The sequence below is a fragment of the Homo sapiens genome, chromosome 11, assembly GCF_000001405.40.
Source record: "Homo sapiens chromosome 11, GRCh38.p14 Primary Assembly".
Classification (NCBI taxonomy): domain Eukaryota; kingdom Metazoa; phylum Chordata; class Mammalia; order Primates; family Hominidae; genus Homo; species Homo sapiens.
In genome coordinates this window covers 57,721,374-57,734,249 of record NC_000011.10, presented here as the reverse complement: position 1 = coordinate 57,734,249, position 12,876 = coordinate 57,721,374, and the positions used below count along the sequence as shown (strand labels likewise).

General features: G+C 42.2%; 1 protein-coding gene and 1 long non-coding RNA gene across 15 annotated transcripts in view, besides 2 other annotated features; both read right to left on the bottom strand.

Moving 5' to 3' along the window:
- The window catches only part of TMX2-CTNND1 (TMX2-CTNND1 readthrough (NMD candidate)), a 106,658-nt gene that overhangs the window by 84,931 nt on the left and 8,851 nt on the right, over positions 1-12,876 (bottom strand).
- Positions 1-12,876, bottom strand: part of TMX2 (thioredoxin related transmembrane protein 2) — a 28,381-nt gene that overhangs the window by 6,724 nt on the left and 8,781 nt on the right. Inside the window, exon 2 of one of the 14 annotated variants that reach the window (NM_001347891.2) lies at positions 9,658-9,710. The exons of the other annotated variants lie outside the window; for them this stretch is intronic. Within the exon in view, the coding sequence (NP_001334820.1) occupies positions 9,658-9,710 (53 nt within the window). The remainder of the gene's footprint in view (positions 1-9,657; positions 9,711-12,876) is intronic. 14 annotated transcript variants of the gene reach the window in all.
- Positions 8,262-8,761: an enhancer, noted in NCBI's record as "H3K4me1 hESC enhancer chr11:57492961-57493460 (GRCh37/hg19 assembly coordinates)". NCBI's record gives its function as "activates a minimal SCP1, AML or CMV promoter by ChIP-STARR-seq in primed H9 embryonic stem cells {active_cell/tissue: H9 hESC(primed)}" and the evidence as "EXISTENCE:reporter gene assay evidence [ECO:0000049][PMID:30033119]".
- Positions 8,762-9,263: an enhancer, noted in NCBI's record as "H3K4me1 hESC enhancer chr11:57492459-57492960 (GRCh37/hg19 assembly coordinates)". NCBI's record gives its function as "activates a minimal SCP1, AML or CMV promoter by ChIP-STARR-seq in primed H9 embryonic stem cells {active_cell/tissue: H9 hESC(primed)}" and the evidence as "EXISTENCE:reporter gene assay evidence [ECO:0000049][PMID:30033119]".

The following is a 12,876-nucleotide window of genomic DNA, read 5'->3' as shown; positions in this document are numbered from 1 at the left end:
AATGAAAGTGATTTACCACTTCTGGGTTCAGGCAGTTAAGAAAGTGTGTGCCCTTGCAGTCCTTTTTTTTTTTTTTTTTTTTTTTTTTTTTTGGAGACAGGGTCTCTCTGTCACCCAGGCTGGAGTACAGTGGCGCGGTCTCCTCCGCCTCCCAGGTTCACGCCATTCTCCTGCCTCAGCTTCCCGAGTAGCTGGGACTACAGGCACCCGCCACCACACCCAGCTAATTTTTTGTATTTTTTAGTAGAGACCGGGTTTCTATTATTTCAGCCAGGATGGTCTCGATCTACTGACCTTGTGATCCGCCCGCTTCAGCCTCCCAAAGTGCTGGGATTACAGGCGTGAGCCACCGCACCCAGCCCGCATTCCAGCTTTTTTTCATTTGCTGGCTGGATGATGCTGGGATGACCCAAGGCCACAGGTTGAAGACAGAATGAGCCTTGGGTTCTAGGATGACTCTATAATGCAGAGCCCTTGGTTGTTCTATTTAATTGTTTTAAAACTTTTTATTATGGATAATTTGAAGCATACAGAAGAGAGGATAATTGAATGAACCCCTATTACCCAGCTTCAACAGTAACCAACATTTTGCCACTGTGATTTCCAATTCATATATGCTACCCATTTTTTTTTCTTAGAGAAACTTTAAGCAAATTCCAGCTATATCGTTTCATCTGTAAATTCCTCACTATAGGCTGGGCGCGGTGACTCACGCCTGTAATCGCAGCACTTTGGGAGGCCGAGGCGGGTGGATCACCTGAGGTCAGGAATTCAAGACCAGCCTGGCCTACATGGTGAAACCCGTCTCTACTAAAAACACACAAAAAGTCAGCCAGGCGTGATGGCGGGCACCTGTAGTTCCAGCTACTAGGAGGCTAAGGCAGGAGAATCGCTTGAACCCGAGAGGCGGAGGTTGCAGTGAGCCGAGAAAGCGCTATTGCACTCCAGCCTGGGCGACAAGAGTGAAACTCCATCTCAAAAAAAAAAAAAAAAAAAAAAAAATTCCTCACTGTGTCTTACACGAGGACTTAAAAAAAAAAACACAACCACAGTTATCACTGACACACTGTTATGCTGTGAAATATATAGTCATGTGCCGTATCATGACATTTTGGTCAGCAATAGACCACATATACAACAGTGGTCCCATAAGATTATAATACCATATTTTTATTGTACCTTTTCTGTGTTTAGATATATTTAGATACATAAATACTTACCATTGTGTTAAACTGCTTATTAGTACAGTAACATGTTGTGTAGGTTTGTGCCTGGGAGCAACAGGTTGTGCCATAAAGCCTAGGTGTGTAGTAGGCCATCTAAGTTTGTGTAAGTACACTCTATGATGCTCCCACAAGGACCATATGGCCTAAGGACACCGCATGATTAGCAGGTTAGGACTTTCAGCCCCACCCCACCCCCCACCAGGCTGAAAGTTCAGCTGATCACCAATGGCCAATGATTTAATTAGTCACACCTATGTAATGAAGTTCCATAAAAACCCAAAAGGATATGTTCCAGGAACCTTCCTGTGTTTAGCTATCTAGAAGCTCTGAGAACCTAGTCCCAATCAGCAAGGTAAATAGGTGAACCATGAATTTTCCAGAAAAACAAAAATTGGCTATTAACCCTAAGCATTTTTTAAAAATTCTATCAGAGTAAGAATATAAAACTTCCAGCATTTTGCATATTAGATAAGAGTATACAGGTAAATGAACTTTATAAAAGGTCTCCTATACTTATTAAAAATCTTTATTACTATCCACTTATATTTTGGGGTCCCATTTTCATTGAAGTGGCATCAAATATCAAATGAAAGATCCTCTGAAATAGCAAGGCTACATTTGAGCTAATTGATTATACAGTTTGGGAAAAAGAGGAAGCAGGAAAAGGAAAGAGGAAAAAAATAAGGGAGTGGGTTCTGGTAAAGGTAATGACTCATTTTGGGGGCTGGAAAAAGTACAAAAATTCTGGATGATGCGCCTTCATCTGAGCACAGATGTTGCTTATAGGCACAAAGGTAGCCTCCCCTCCACCTTCTAAAGTTTTGCTGAAAATGAGCTGACAAAAGGCAGATTGACATGAGAAAAGGAAAAATTTATCAACGCACACGGAAACACTAGTAAAAAGAAAAAGACACATGAATAAAGAGACAAAAACCACTTTTGGTCTCCTTTTCCTTTCCAAATTTAAGATTAATGGGAAAAGAACATTTGTATGATTAGTCTTAGGTGTAGCAACTTTGATATGTTTTTGGTATGAATATTCACATTGTCTGATTCTTTTTCTCCCCAAAATAGTCTTTTTCTCTTGTTATATCTTCCTGTGTTATTTTGTCATAGAGTAGGGTACCATAAAGTACAACATCAGAATAAAGCCCCTGTAAGCCTATTGGTCAAGCTGGCCCTCCAGACTGGTGGGTGAGTTTTAAAATTCTTATCAGAATGACATACAAATTGTGCTGTGGGTCCCCAAAATAAAAACCAGATGAGGTTTCCTTCTCATCTTATGTCCTTGGAAGCTCGACTTGTGACCAAGTGGGAGCTTCTTGGTCTCCACCACTTGGAGGCCTTATTTTTGGGTGAAGTCCAGTGGCCAGTGTTGACGAAAAGAGTCAAACTCTGTAAAATATTTTAAGAGATTTATTCTGAGGCAAGTATGAGTGACCATGGCCTGTGACACAGCCCTCTGGAGGTCCTGAGAATATGTGCCCAAGGTGCTCTACAGCTTGATTTTATATATTTTAGGGAAGCATAAGACATCAAATACATTGATTTAATTTTTTTGGTCTCAAAAAAAAAAAAAAAAAAAAAAAAGGCTGGGTGCGGTGTCTCACCCTTGCAATCCCAGCACTTTGGGAGGCTGAGGCGGGCAGATCACCTGATGTCAGGAGTTCAAGACCAGCCTGGCCAACATGGCAAAACTCCGTCTCTACTAAAAATACAAAAATTAGCTGGGTGCAGTGGCGCATGCTTGTAATCCCAGCTACTCGGGAAGCTGAGGCAGGAGAATCGCTTGAACCAGGGAGGCAGATGTTGCAGTGAGTGGAAATTGCACCACTCCACTCCAGCCTGAGCGAGAGTGAAACTGGATCTCAAAAAAAAAAAAAAAAAAAAAAAAAAAACAAAAAACAAAAAACGGAAAGAGTGGCACTTTTAAGATATCAATCTGAAGAATGTTAAAGGAAACACATTACAGAATTTAAAAATTTATTGAATTAAAAATAACTCAATATTTGTAATAAAATCTTGTTTTAACTAAGTTTTGTGTTAGTGCATTTTTTAAATATTAAAGACTAATCTCTAGAAAGATATGATTTTCTTTAATCATAGCCAACCGAATTATACAACCCCTTTAAAAATTCCTTCTTACTAACCGTATTATGACTTACATAGATCATTCACAATGGTTAGGCTGTTTTACCCTAAATGTCTCTCTCTCTCAAGCAACCCAGTTATTTTATTTGAGGGCAAAAATTCACTCTACAAGGTTCTTGGTTTTTTGTTTTTCTTTGAGACGCAGTTTCACTCGTTGCCCAGGCTGGAGTGCAATGGTACGATCTCGGCTCACTGCAACCTCCGCCTCCTGGGTTCAAGCGATTCTCCTGTGTCAGCCTCCCGAGTAGTTGGGATTACAGGCGCCCACCACCAATGCCTGGCTAATTTTTGTATTTTTAGTAGAGACGGAGTTTTGCCATGTTGGCCAGGCTGATCTTGAACTCCTGACCTCAGATGATCTGCCCGCCTCGGCCTCCCAAAGTGCTGGGATTACAGGCATGAGCCACCATGCCTGGCCTTTTTTTTTTTTTTTTTTTTTTTTTTTTAAAGACAGTTTCACTCTTGTTGCCCAGCCTGGAGTGCAATGGTGTGATCTCGGCTCACTGCAACCTCCACCTCCCAGGTTCAAGCGATTCTCCTGCCTCAGCCTCCCAAGTACCTGGGATTATAGGCGCCCACCACCATGGCTGGCTAATTTTTGTATTTTTAGTAGAGAAGGGGTTTCACCATGTTGGCCAGGCTGGTCTCGAACTCCTGACATCAGGTGATCCACCCACCTCGGCCTCCCAAAGTTACTGGGATTACAGGCGTGAGGCACCATGGCCACCACATGCATATATATATATATAATTATTTTTTTTTGTGGGGGGAAACGGAGTCTTGCTCTGTTGCCCAGGCTGGAGTGCAGTGGTGTGATCCTGGCTCACCACAACCTCCATCTCCCGGGTTCAAGCGATACTCCTGCCTCAGTCTTAGTAGCTGGGACTACAGTGCATGCCACCATGCCTGGCTAATTTTTGTATTTTTAGTAGAGACGGGGTTTCACCATGTTGGCCAGGCTGGTCTCAAACTCTTGACCTTGTGATCCAACCTGTCTCGGCCTCCCAAAAGTGCTGGGATTACAGGCGTGAGCCACTGCGCCCTACCCGCTTTTATATATTTTTAAGCCAATTAATTAGAGCTCTTTATATATTTTCAGTAGTGAAAATATTGTATACACACACATAAATATATAGACTTATTAGGTATGCCGATAGAAGCACATGGCATAGACTCATAACAACCTCCTTTTTGTTCCGTTTTTTAAAAATCCTACCCTAGGCAGCTGTCAGCTAAACAGCCTTAAATTTGCATATTAAAGGCAACTCAGGTGAAAATCAGATAGCAAAATTTACATCATAAGGTAAGAAGAGAAAGTCTGGTGTGCTAGAGGGAAATTAAAAGGGTTTCAATTGCCAATTGAACGTAAAATTATATAAGTCTATTATAAAGGCCTTTAAATACACACACACACAGTTCCCATAGCTATTAATTCAATACTTTTGCCATGAGACAAATACAACTTCACCGACTTGCAAAAAAACAGAGAACAGTGGTTTTTATCTCAGTCGAAAAGTAACAGCCGATCTAAAGCAGGCAGAAAAAAAAACAGAACCTAGAACTCTATAGTTTTCAGTTTGACCTTAGGACTCTTTTTTCTTAATGCAAATGTGCACAAAGACCATATTACTTCCATTTTATATCAATTCTGGCAAGTAGAGGTGCCATAAAACCTATGAAGGACCCGAAAAGGGGACATTCTCCTCATTTTCTCCTTAGTCTTAGATTTGTTTCTCGCCTTTTTTTTTTCTCCTTAGAGGAGCTGAGCTGTAGCCTAGGGTTCTTGTGTGGTGGATTGATGTGTGGTGGATTGATGCGTGCTGCTTGCAGGCAGGACTCCACAGTGTCACCACTGAGTCGTTTCTGCCCTCTTAAGTGTCTCTCTCCAGAGGTCTGTGACCTCTGAGAGGGCTCAAAACGCTGGGTGATCAGCCCTCATGTGTGTTTCCTGGATGAGCCATTTTTTAAATTAATTGTTTTTGGGGATTAATCCCTAAAGGGATTTCCCTTTAGGGCCGCTGTACGTCTTGGGGGTCAACCCCTGGACACTCCCACAAAGCCCCCAGTCACCCAGGGGCACCTTTCAGCTGGGAAGAGCAAACACCCTTTCTCTTCAGAGCTGAAAAACTCAGTCTCTATGAAAGCAACAGTTCAGTTCCTCACACAAATGGACACAGATGAACCGAATCAAGATAAATTTTAGGAGAAAAAGCAATAGAGAATTCCCTTCAGAATGCATACCCAAACTACAATCAGGATCCTTAAACAACAACTTCCTAGCAAAAAACCAGCTCAGAAAAAATCAAGAACCATCAGCCCTTGAAGGGAGGTCCGGGGCTCAGGACGACTTAACAGTTCCACCGAAGGAGAAGCTCGAACTCAGTGGGGCTTCAATGGGCCCCTGCTGGTACCTTACCTCCAGTCTCGGGCAACTCCTTTGGGGTTCTGAGTCTTCTCTGAGGCCAACGTTGGGAGCCATATTACTGTTGCCAAAAAGAGTCAAACTCACAGTGAAACCCCATCTCTACTAAAAATATAAAAAATTAGCCAGGCATGGTGGCGGGCGCCTGTAGTCCCAGCTACTCGGGAGGCTGAGGCAGGAGAATGGCGTGAACCCGGAAGGCGGAGCTTGCAGTGAGCCGAGATGGCGCCACTGCACTCCAGCCTGGGCGACACAGCGAGACTCCGTCTCAAAAAAAAAAAGAGTGAAACTCTGTAAAATATTTTCAGAGATTTATTCTGAGCCAAATATGAGTGACCATGGCCCATGACACAGCCCTCAGGAGGTCCTGAGAACATGTGCCCAAGGTGGTCTGGGTAGAGCTTAATATTTTAGAGAGGCATGAGACATCAATCAAATACATTTAAGAAATACATTGGTTTCGTTCAGAAAGGCAGGACAACTCAAAGCGGGGCTGTAGGTAAATTTAAACATTTTCTGGCAGACAATTGGTTGAGTTTGTCTAAAGACCTGGGATTCACAGAAAGGAATGTTCAGGTTATGATAAAGGATTGAGGAGGCCAAGTTTTATTGTGCAGAGGAAGCTCTCAGCGGACTTCAGAGAGAGCAGGTTGTAAATCGTTTCTTATTGGACTTAAAAGGGTGCCTAGCTCTTAGTTGATTATTTCCTGGATCTGAGAAGGAAGGAAAACAAAGGGGAGAGGGGATTCTCTACAGAATGTGGATTTTTCCCAGAAGAGACTTTGTAGGGCAATTTCAAGGTATGGGAAGGAAACAGATTTTGGGGTAAAACATTTTTAGTTTCTTCCTTGTTATGCCAGAGTCAGATAGGAAAGTAAGTCACAATAGATATCCAGGGTTAAATAAAACCCATCTGATGAGAATTTATGGTTTTTAGGGCATGATTACCCAGACCCCTTAGAAAGGAATTTGGGCAAGATAAAAAAAATCATAGCTTAGTCCTCAGTCCCCTCTCTTGGCCAAAAAGCATTCCATAGAATGTATGTGTAGACCAACAAACACCAGCAGGTCCCAACGTGCTAGGAAACCTCATTCCTAGAGTTGTCTGATTTGGCTATCTGGCAGGGTCCCACAGGACTAGGAAGGCTTGTTTCTAGAGTCCTTTGATTTGATGGTAATAGTTTTAAATATTAGCGATTTGGATAATGGGGGGAGGACATGGTCTGACCTGATGTAATAGCCAATTGTTTAAGGGGTGAAATGGAGTCAGGCTTAGTCTAAAAAAAAATCCCGGATCAGATCTATTTTCTGAGCTATTATGATCCGGGTCTTTAACTGTGCCTTTGCCTTTTGCTGTATCTGGCATAATATTTACAAGAAATGCCTAATGCTAATATAATAACAAATATCATAAAGACAGTGAAGATTTGGGCACTCAGGGTTATAGGTAGAATCTGAGGGCAGTAAACAACCCAATCAGCCAGGAAAAACCCTGCATGCATCATCTATTCTTTGAATAGACTTACAGTGTGTTTGTACTCCTTAATAAGGGTTATTTGAACCCTGTGATAAATCTTATTTGAAAATTGTGATACCAACATTAAATTAGAATGTAATAAATTTAATCTCTCTTTCCGCCAATTTATCTCCATAGGTATAGCATCCTGAGGGAGGATATAAATTAAATGGGAGAAATGCCTGGTCCTTGGTGTTTAAATTGTTACAGACTTATTAAAAGTAGAAACCTATTTTTCCCACAACTTTTGTATTGCACCATATACTGGTATTTGGGAGAAAAGGTTTTGTCACAGGAGAAGTCATATAATTCTACAGTGTTTTTTCCTTGGCAGGACTCCCTATGGCTGAGGGCCTTAAGAGTCAAAAGACTTATAGTCAATTGTTTTAGGCCATATAGGAATGGATGTGGACAGGCATTCATTACTTCTTAAAATTATTAAGTAAAAAAAAAAGCCAACAATAAACCCAAAAAACAAAGTTACAAGACTGACTTGTTTTTTTTTTAATCTTATCTTTTATGGAGATGGAGTCTGGCTCTGTCGCCCAGGCCAGAGTGCAGTGGCGTGATCTCGGCTCACTGCAACCTCCGCCTCCCGGGTTCAAGCAATTCTCCTACCTCAGCCTCCTGAGTAGCTGGGACTACAGGCGCATGCCACCACGCCTGGCTGATTTTTTGTATTTTAGTAGAGATGGGGTTTCACCATGTTGCCCAGGGTGGTCTCGAACTCCTGACCTCAGGAAATCCGCCCACCCCAGCCTACCAAAGTGCTAGGATTACAGGAGTGAACCACCACGCCCGGCAGACTGACTTATTTTTAACTTTTATGTGGAGCTACTGTAAGCTTGGTTTCTGTTACAGACTTATAGCAATTAGCTATACAAAACATAAGCATCATTCTGAGAAATAATTTAAAATATGTATATATACATATCTGTATCTGTAGATATATTTATCTTCACGACTTATAATTTGGAGTATTATACCCAGGAGGCTTTGTTCCATGGTACTTTATAATGTTAGTAAATATTTTTCCTTAATTTTATAGTAAGCAGAAAATTTTTATGGTTGGGGTGGATGCAGAAGTAACACATAATAGTTTAGAAGGCAACCAATTTTGTTTTACCAGCTGTTTGGGCATTTTTAGTACCCCCTTCTTGATTTGGAGGGTTTAATCTTGACCTTTTTTTTTTCTTCGAGATAAGAGTCTCACTCTGTCGCCCAGGCTGGAGTGCAGTGGCACAATCTCAGTTCACTGCAACCTCCACCTCCTGGGTTCAAGCGATTCTCCTGCCTCAGCCTCCCAAGTAGCTGGGATTACAGGTATGTGCCACCACACCTGGCTAATTTTTGTATTTTTAGTAGAGACAGGGTTTCATTCTGTTAGCCAGGCTGGTCTCAAACTCCTGACCACAAGTGATCCACCCGCCTCGGTCTCCCAAAGTGGTGGGATTACAAGCGTGAGCCACCTCGACCAGCCAATCTTGACCTAATTTTATCCCTCAAAACCAGCCCTTATAACCTCATGTGCCCTGGCCCAAAGGGAGGCAGCTTGTATAGTTTTAGCAGCAGAGCATTAGCAGTGAAACAGATCCAGGGTCAGTGGGATACCAAATGAGGGAGATTCATGTTTCTAGTCTTCAGAATACCATGATTTCGGTTTCCTTGGAAGTAAAACAGGGAGAGATAAATAATGGCTTAATCTGCACTTAAAAAGTCAGGGCTTAGTTTTTGCCATCAGCCCCGATAAATGCTCCACACAAAAGGCTATGCAATGGAGGATTTACATGAGCAGATTTACATCTTCAGTTTTACAGTACTAGAAAGGGGAAAACATCCCCCAATTAGATGTAGAACCCATTTTCTTTTCTTTTCTTTCTTTTTTTTTTTTTTTTTGAGACACAGTCTCACTCTGTTGCCCAGGCTGGAGTGCAGTGGCACGATCTTGGCTCACTGCAACCTCTGCCACCCGAGTTCAAAGTGATTCTCCTGCCCCAGCCTCCCGAGTAGCTGGGATTACAGGCGCCTGCCACCGCACCCAGCTAATTTTTGTATTTTTAGTAGAGACACGGTTTCACCACCTTGGCCAGGCTAATCTTGAACTCTTGACCTTGTGATCCACCCGCCTCAGCCTCCCAAAGTGCTGGGATTACAGGTGTGAGCCACCATGCCCAGCCTTATAGTACCCATTTTCATAAGACATTTAGGTAAAAGGGGTTACAACTACCTTAGATAAAGCTTGTTTAAACATCTTACATTTTACAGTTCTATTAACCTGTATGTTTTTATGTTCTGGTCCCAGGAAGCCTTTTTTTTTTTTTTTAATCCCCAGACCATTTTACCTTTTCTGGTACAAAGGGTTTGCGTTCCCAGCATGGGGTTGCATCTGTAAGACCTATGAGGGACAGGATATTTGGTAAGGCTTCTTAAACAGACCTATGATTCTGTAGGAGGGCACCCATGTAAAACGGGCCCTCTTAACCTCCAAATTTACCATGACCTGGGTAATAGACATATTTGGTGGGAGGATATCCCAGTTATCATAAAGCTAGTGCAACATGGCTTGTATATGAAACATACTAACTGCTTCATCTGGGGTACTTCACTTGGTATTTTAAAGGGAGAGTTGGGCAGTTCCCTTCTCAGGGCAAAGAGACCTTATAATGGCATTATCTGGCCCACTAGGCTGATTGCTTTTTCAAGAATAAACCCCCTTTGCGTTTGGATCATATATACTCAGTGACTGTTCAGTAATGAGTTCTGGGTCCTGCATTAATTCAAACAAGCTCTTAAATTCTGTAGCATTTAAAATTAAGAATTTTGTCCTTAAAGCAGTTATTTTCACAATCCACTAAAGTTTTTTTTAAAAAAAGAAGCTGAATGATACCAATCTACAAAATGGAACAATTCCTTTACATTACACCCTTTGGTTTTAAATAGTTACTTGGTTTTGCCCTTCCCCTATATTGACTATTTTCTTGGTAACCATAGGGCTCAGAGTTTTGTTGCCCTGGCTTGTTTTGTTTTCCTTTTTAAAAAAAAAAAATCCATTTAGTTTTATCTGTATAATTTTCTTCATTATAAAGCAACTCTTAGCTTATTATTATTATTATTATTATTATTATTATTTTTGAGACAGAGTCTTGCTCTGTCACCCAGGCTGGAGTGCAGTGGTGTGATCACAGCTCAATGCAACCTCCGCCTGCTGGGTTCAAGCAATTCTCCCATCTCAGCCTCCCGAGTAGCTGGGATTACAGGCACTCGCCACCATGCCCGGCTAATTTTTGTATTTTTTTTAGTAGGACAGGGTTTCACCATGTTGGCCAGGCTGGTCTCGAACTCCTGACCTTGTGATCCGCCTGCCTCAGTCTCCCAAAGTGCTGGGATTACAGGCGTGAGCCACTTAGTTTCTTTCTTTCTTTTTTTTTTTTTGCGATGAATTTTTTTTTTTGAGACGGAGTTTTGCTCTTGTTGCCCAGGCTGGAGTGCAATGGCACAATCCCGGCTCACTGCAACCTCCGCCTCCCGGGTTCAAGCAATTCTCCCGTCTCAGCCTCCCAAGTAGCTGGGATTACAGGTGCATACCACCATACCCAGCTAATTTTTTTTGTATTGTTAGTAGAGATGGGGTTTCATCACATTGGTCAGGCTGGTCTCGAACTCCTGACCTCAGGTGATCCATCCGCCCTGGCCTCCCAAAGTGCTGGGATTACAGGCGTGAGCCACTGTACCCAGCCCAAGCCACTTAGTTTCTTAACAAAAAAGAAACTTACATTTTTTTGAGAGTTGACATCCGTGTGTTTATTTATTTATTTATTTTCTTTGAGACGGAGTCTTGCTCTATCCTCCAGGGTGGAGTGCATTGGCACAATCTCAGCTCACTGCAACCTCTGCTTTCCGGGTTCAAGGGATTCTCCTGCCTCAGCCTCCCAAGTAGCTGTGATTACAGGAACACGCCACCACGCCCAGCTAATTTTGTATTTTTGTACAGATGGGGTTTTGCCACGTTGACCAGGCTGGTCCCGAACTCCTGAGTTCAGGTGATCCACCCGTCTCAGCCTCCCAAAGTGCTGGGATTATAGGCTTGTGCCACTGCACCCCAGCCAATAAAATTTTAATAAAAGCATATTTTATGTTTCTACTATCTTAACTTCTAGTAACCCAAATTTCCAGTGGGGGAAAAAAAAACTTGAGGGTTTAAACATGACTTTAAGATTTTTAAATCACTGGAGAGTTTTACCAAGGTTATGTAAATTAAAAGGCATCTGAGCTAGCTTTTACCAATGTGATAAGCACTTACATTTTTTAAATTACTTGATTAGAGCTCTTTCATGTAGTTTGGCAGTAAAGTATCACTTCTATATGACACATATAAAGATACAGATATAACAGGCATGCAGAATAAAAGCCATGTTCAAAAGATACTTTATTTGCCTGTTTTCAAAAACAATTTTTCTCCCTTACTTTAGATAATTAGTAAAAGTTACAGGACACAACAAAAGGTGAAGGAGAGAGCCATCTTTCAAGGCCTTTTCAAAAGAGAAAGAGGGCCGGGTGCAGTGACTCACACCTGATTTTATTGTCTCAACTCTTTTATCTTTTTCTTCTCCTTTTAAAAAAATTCCTTCACTGAAGCTGGGTGCGGTGGCTCACACCTGTAATCCTAGCACTTTGGGAGGCTGTGGTGGGAGGATCGCTTGAGCTCAGGAGTTCGAGACCAGCCTGGGCAACACAGTGAGACCTCCTCTCCACAAATGATTTTTAAAAATTAGCTGGGCATGTATGTTGGCACGTGCCTGTACTCCCATCTGCTTGACAGGCTCAGGTGGGAGGATGGCTTAAGTGCAGCAGGTTGAGGCTGTAGTGAACTGCGACCATGCCACTGCACTGTAGCGTGGGTAAGAGAACAAGACCCTGTCTCCCCCCTCAATTTTTAAAATTAATTTAAAAAATAAATAAATAAAATTACTTCAGTGAGAAGGAAGAAATCTCAACTCTTATTGCCTGGTTAGTCCTGGGCAAGTCCAATCCAGGGAGGGCCTAGCTGGTGTCTCAAATTAATAGGTCTATGATTAGCAGCCCCCCACGTATTGGTGGGATACTACAGGAAACACACACATAAACACCATCCTTAACTGTCTATGAAAACAAGAGTCTTTCGCTATCTTAGCCTATTTTTGAAAGTAAATATTTTGGGGGAATGTGAGGGTTATATCATCTGGTATTCTGAACCTAGAAAATTACCTCTGAGACTTTCCATGAAGAAGGCTTATTGGCTTAAGTCGCTAAGTAAATTGGCTTTATTTAAAAAACATTTTAGACCAGGCACAGTGGCTTATACCTGTAATCCCAGCACTTTGGGAGGCCGAGGCTGGTGGATCACCTGAGATTGGGAGCTTGAGAACAGCCTGACCAACATGGAAAAACCCCATGTCTACTAAAAATACAAAATTAGCTGGGCATGGTGGCACATGCCTGTAATCCCAGCTACTCAGGAGGCTGAGGTTGTGGTGAGCCGAGACTGAGCCATTGCACTCCAGCCTAGGCAACAAGAGCAAAAC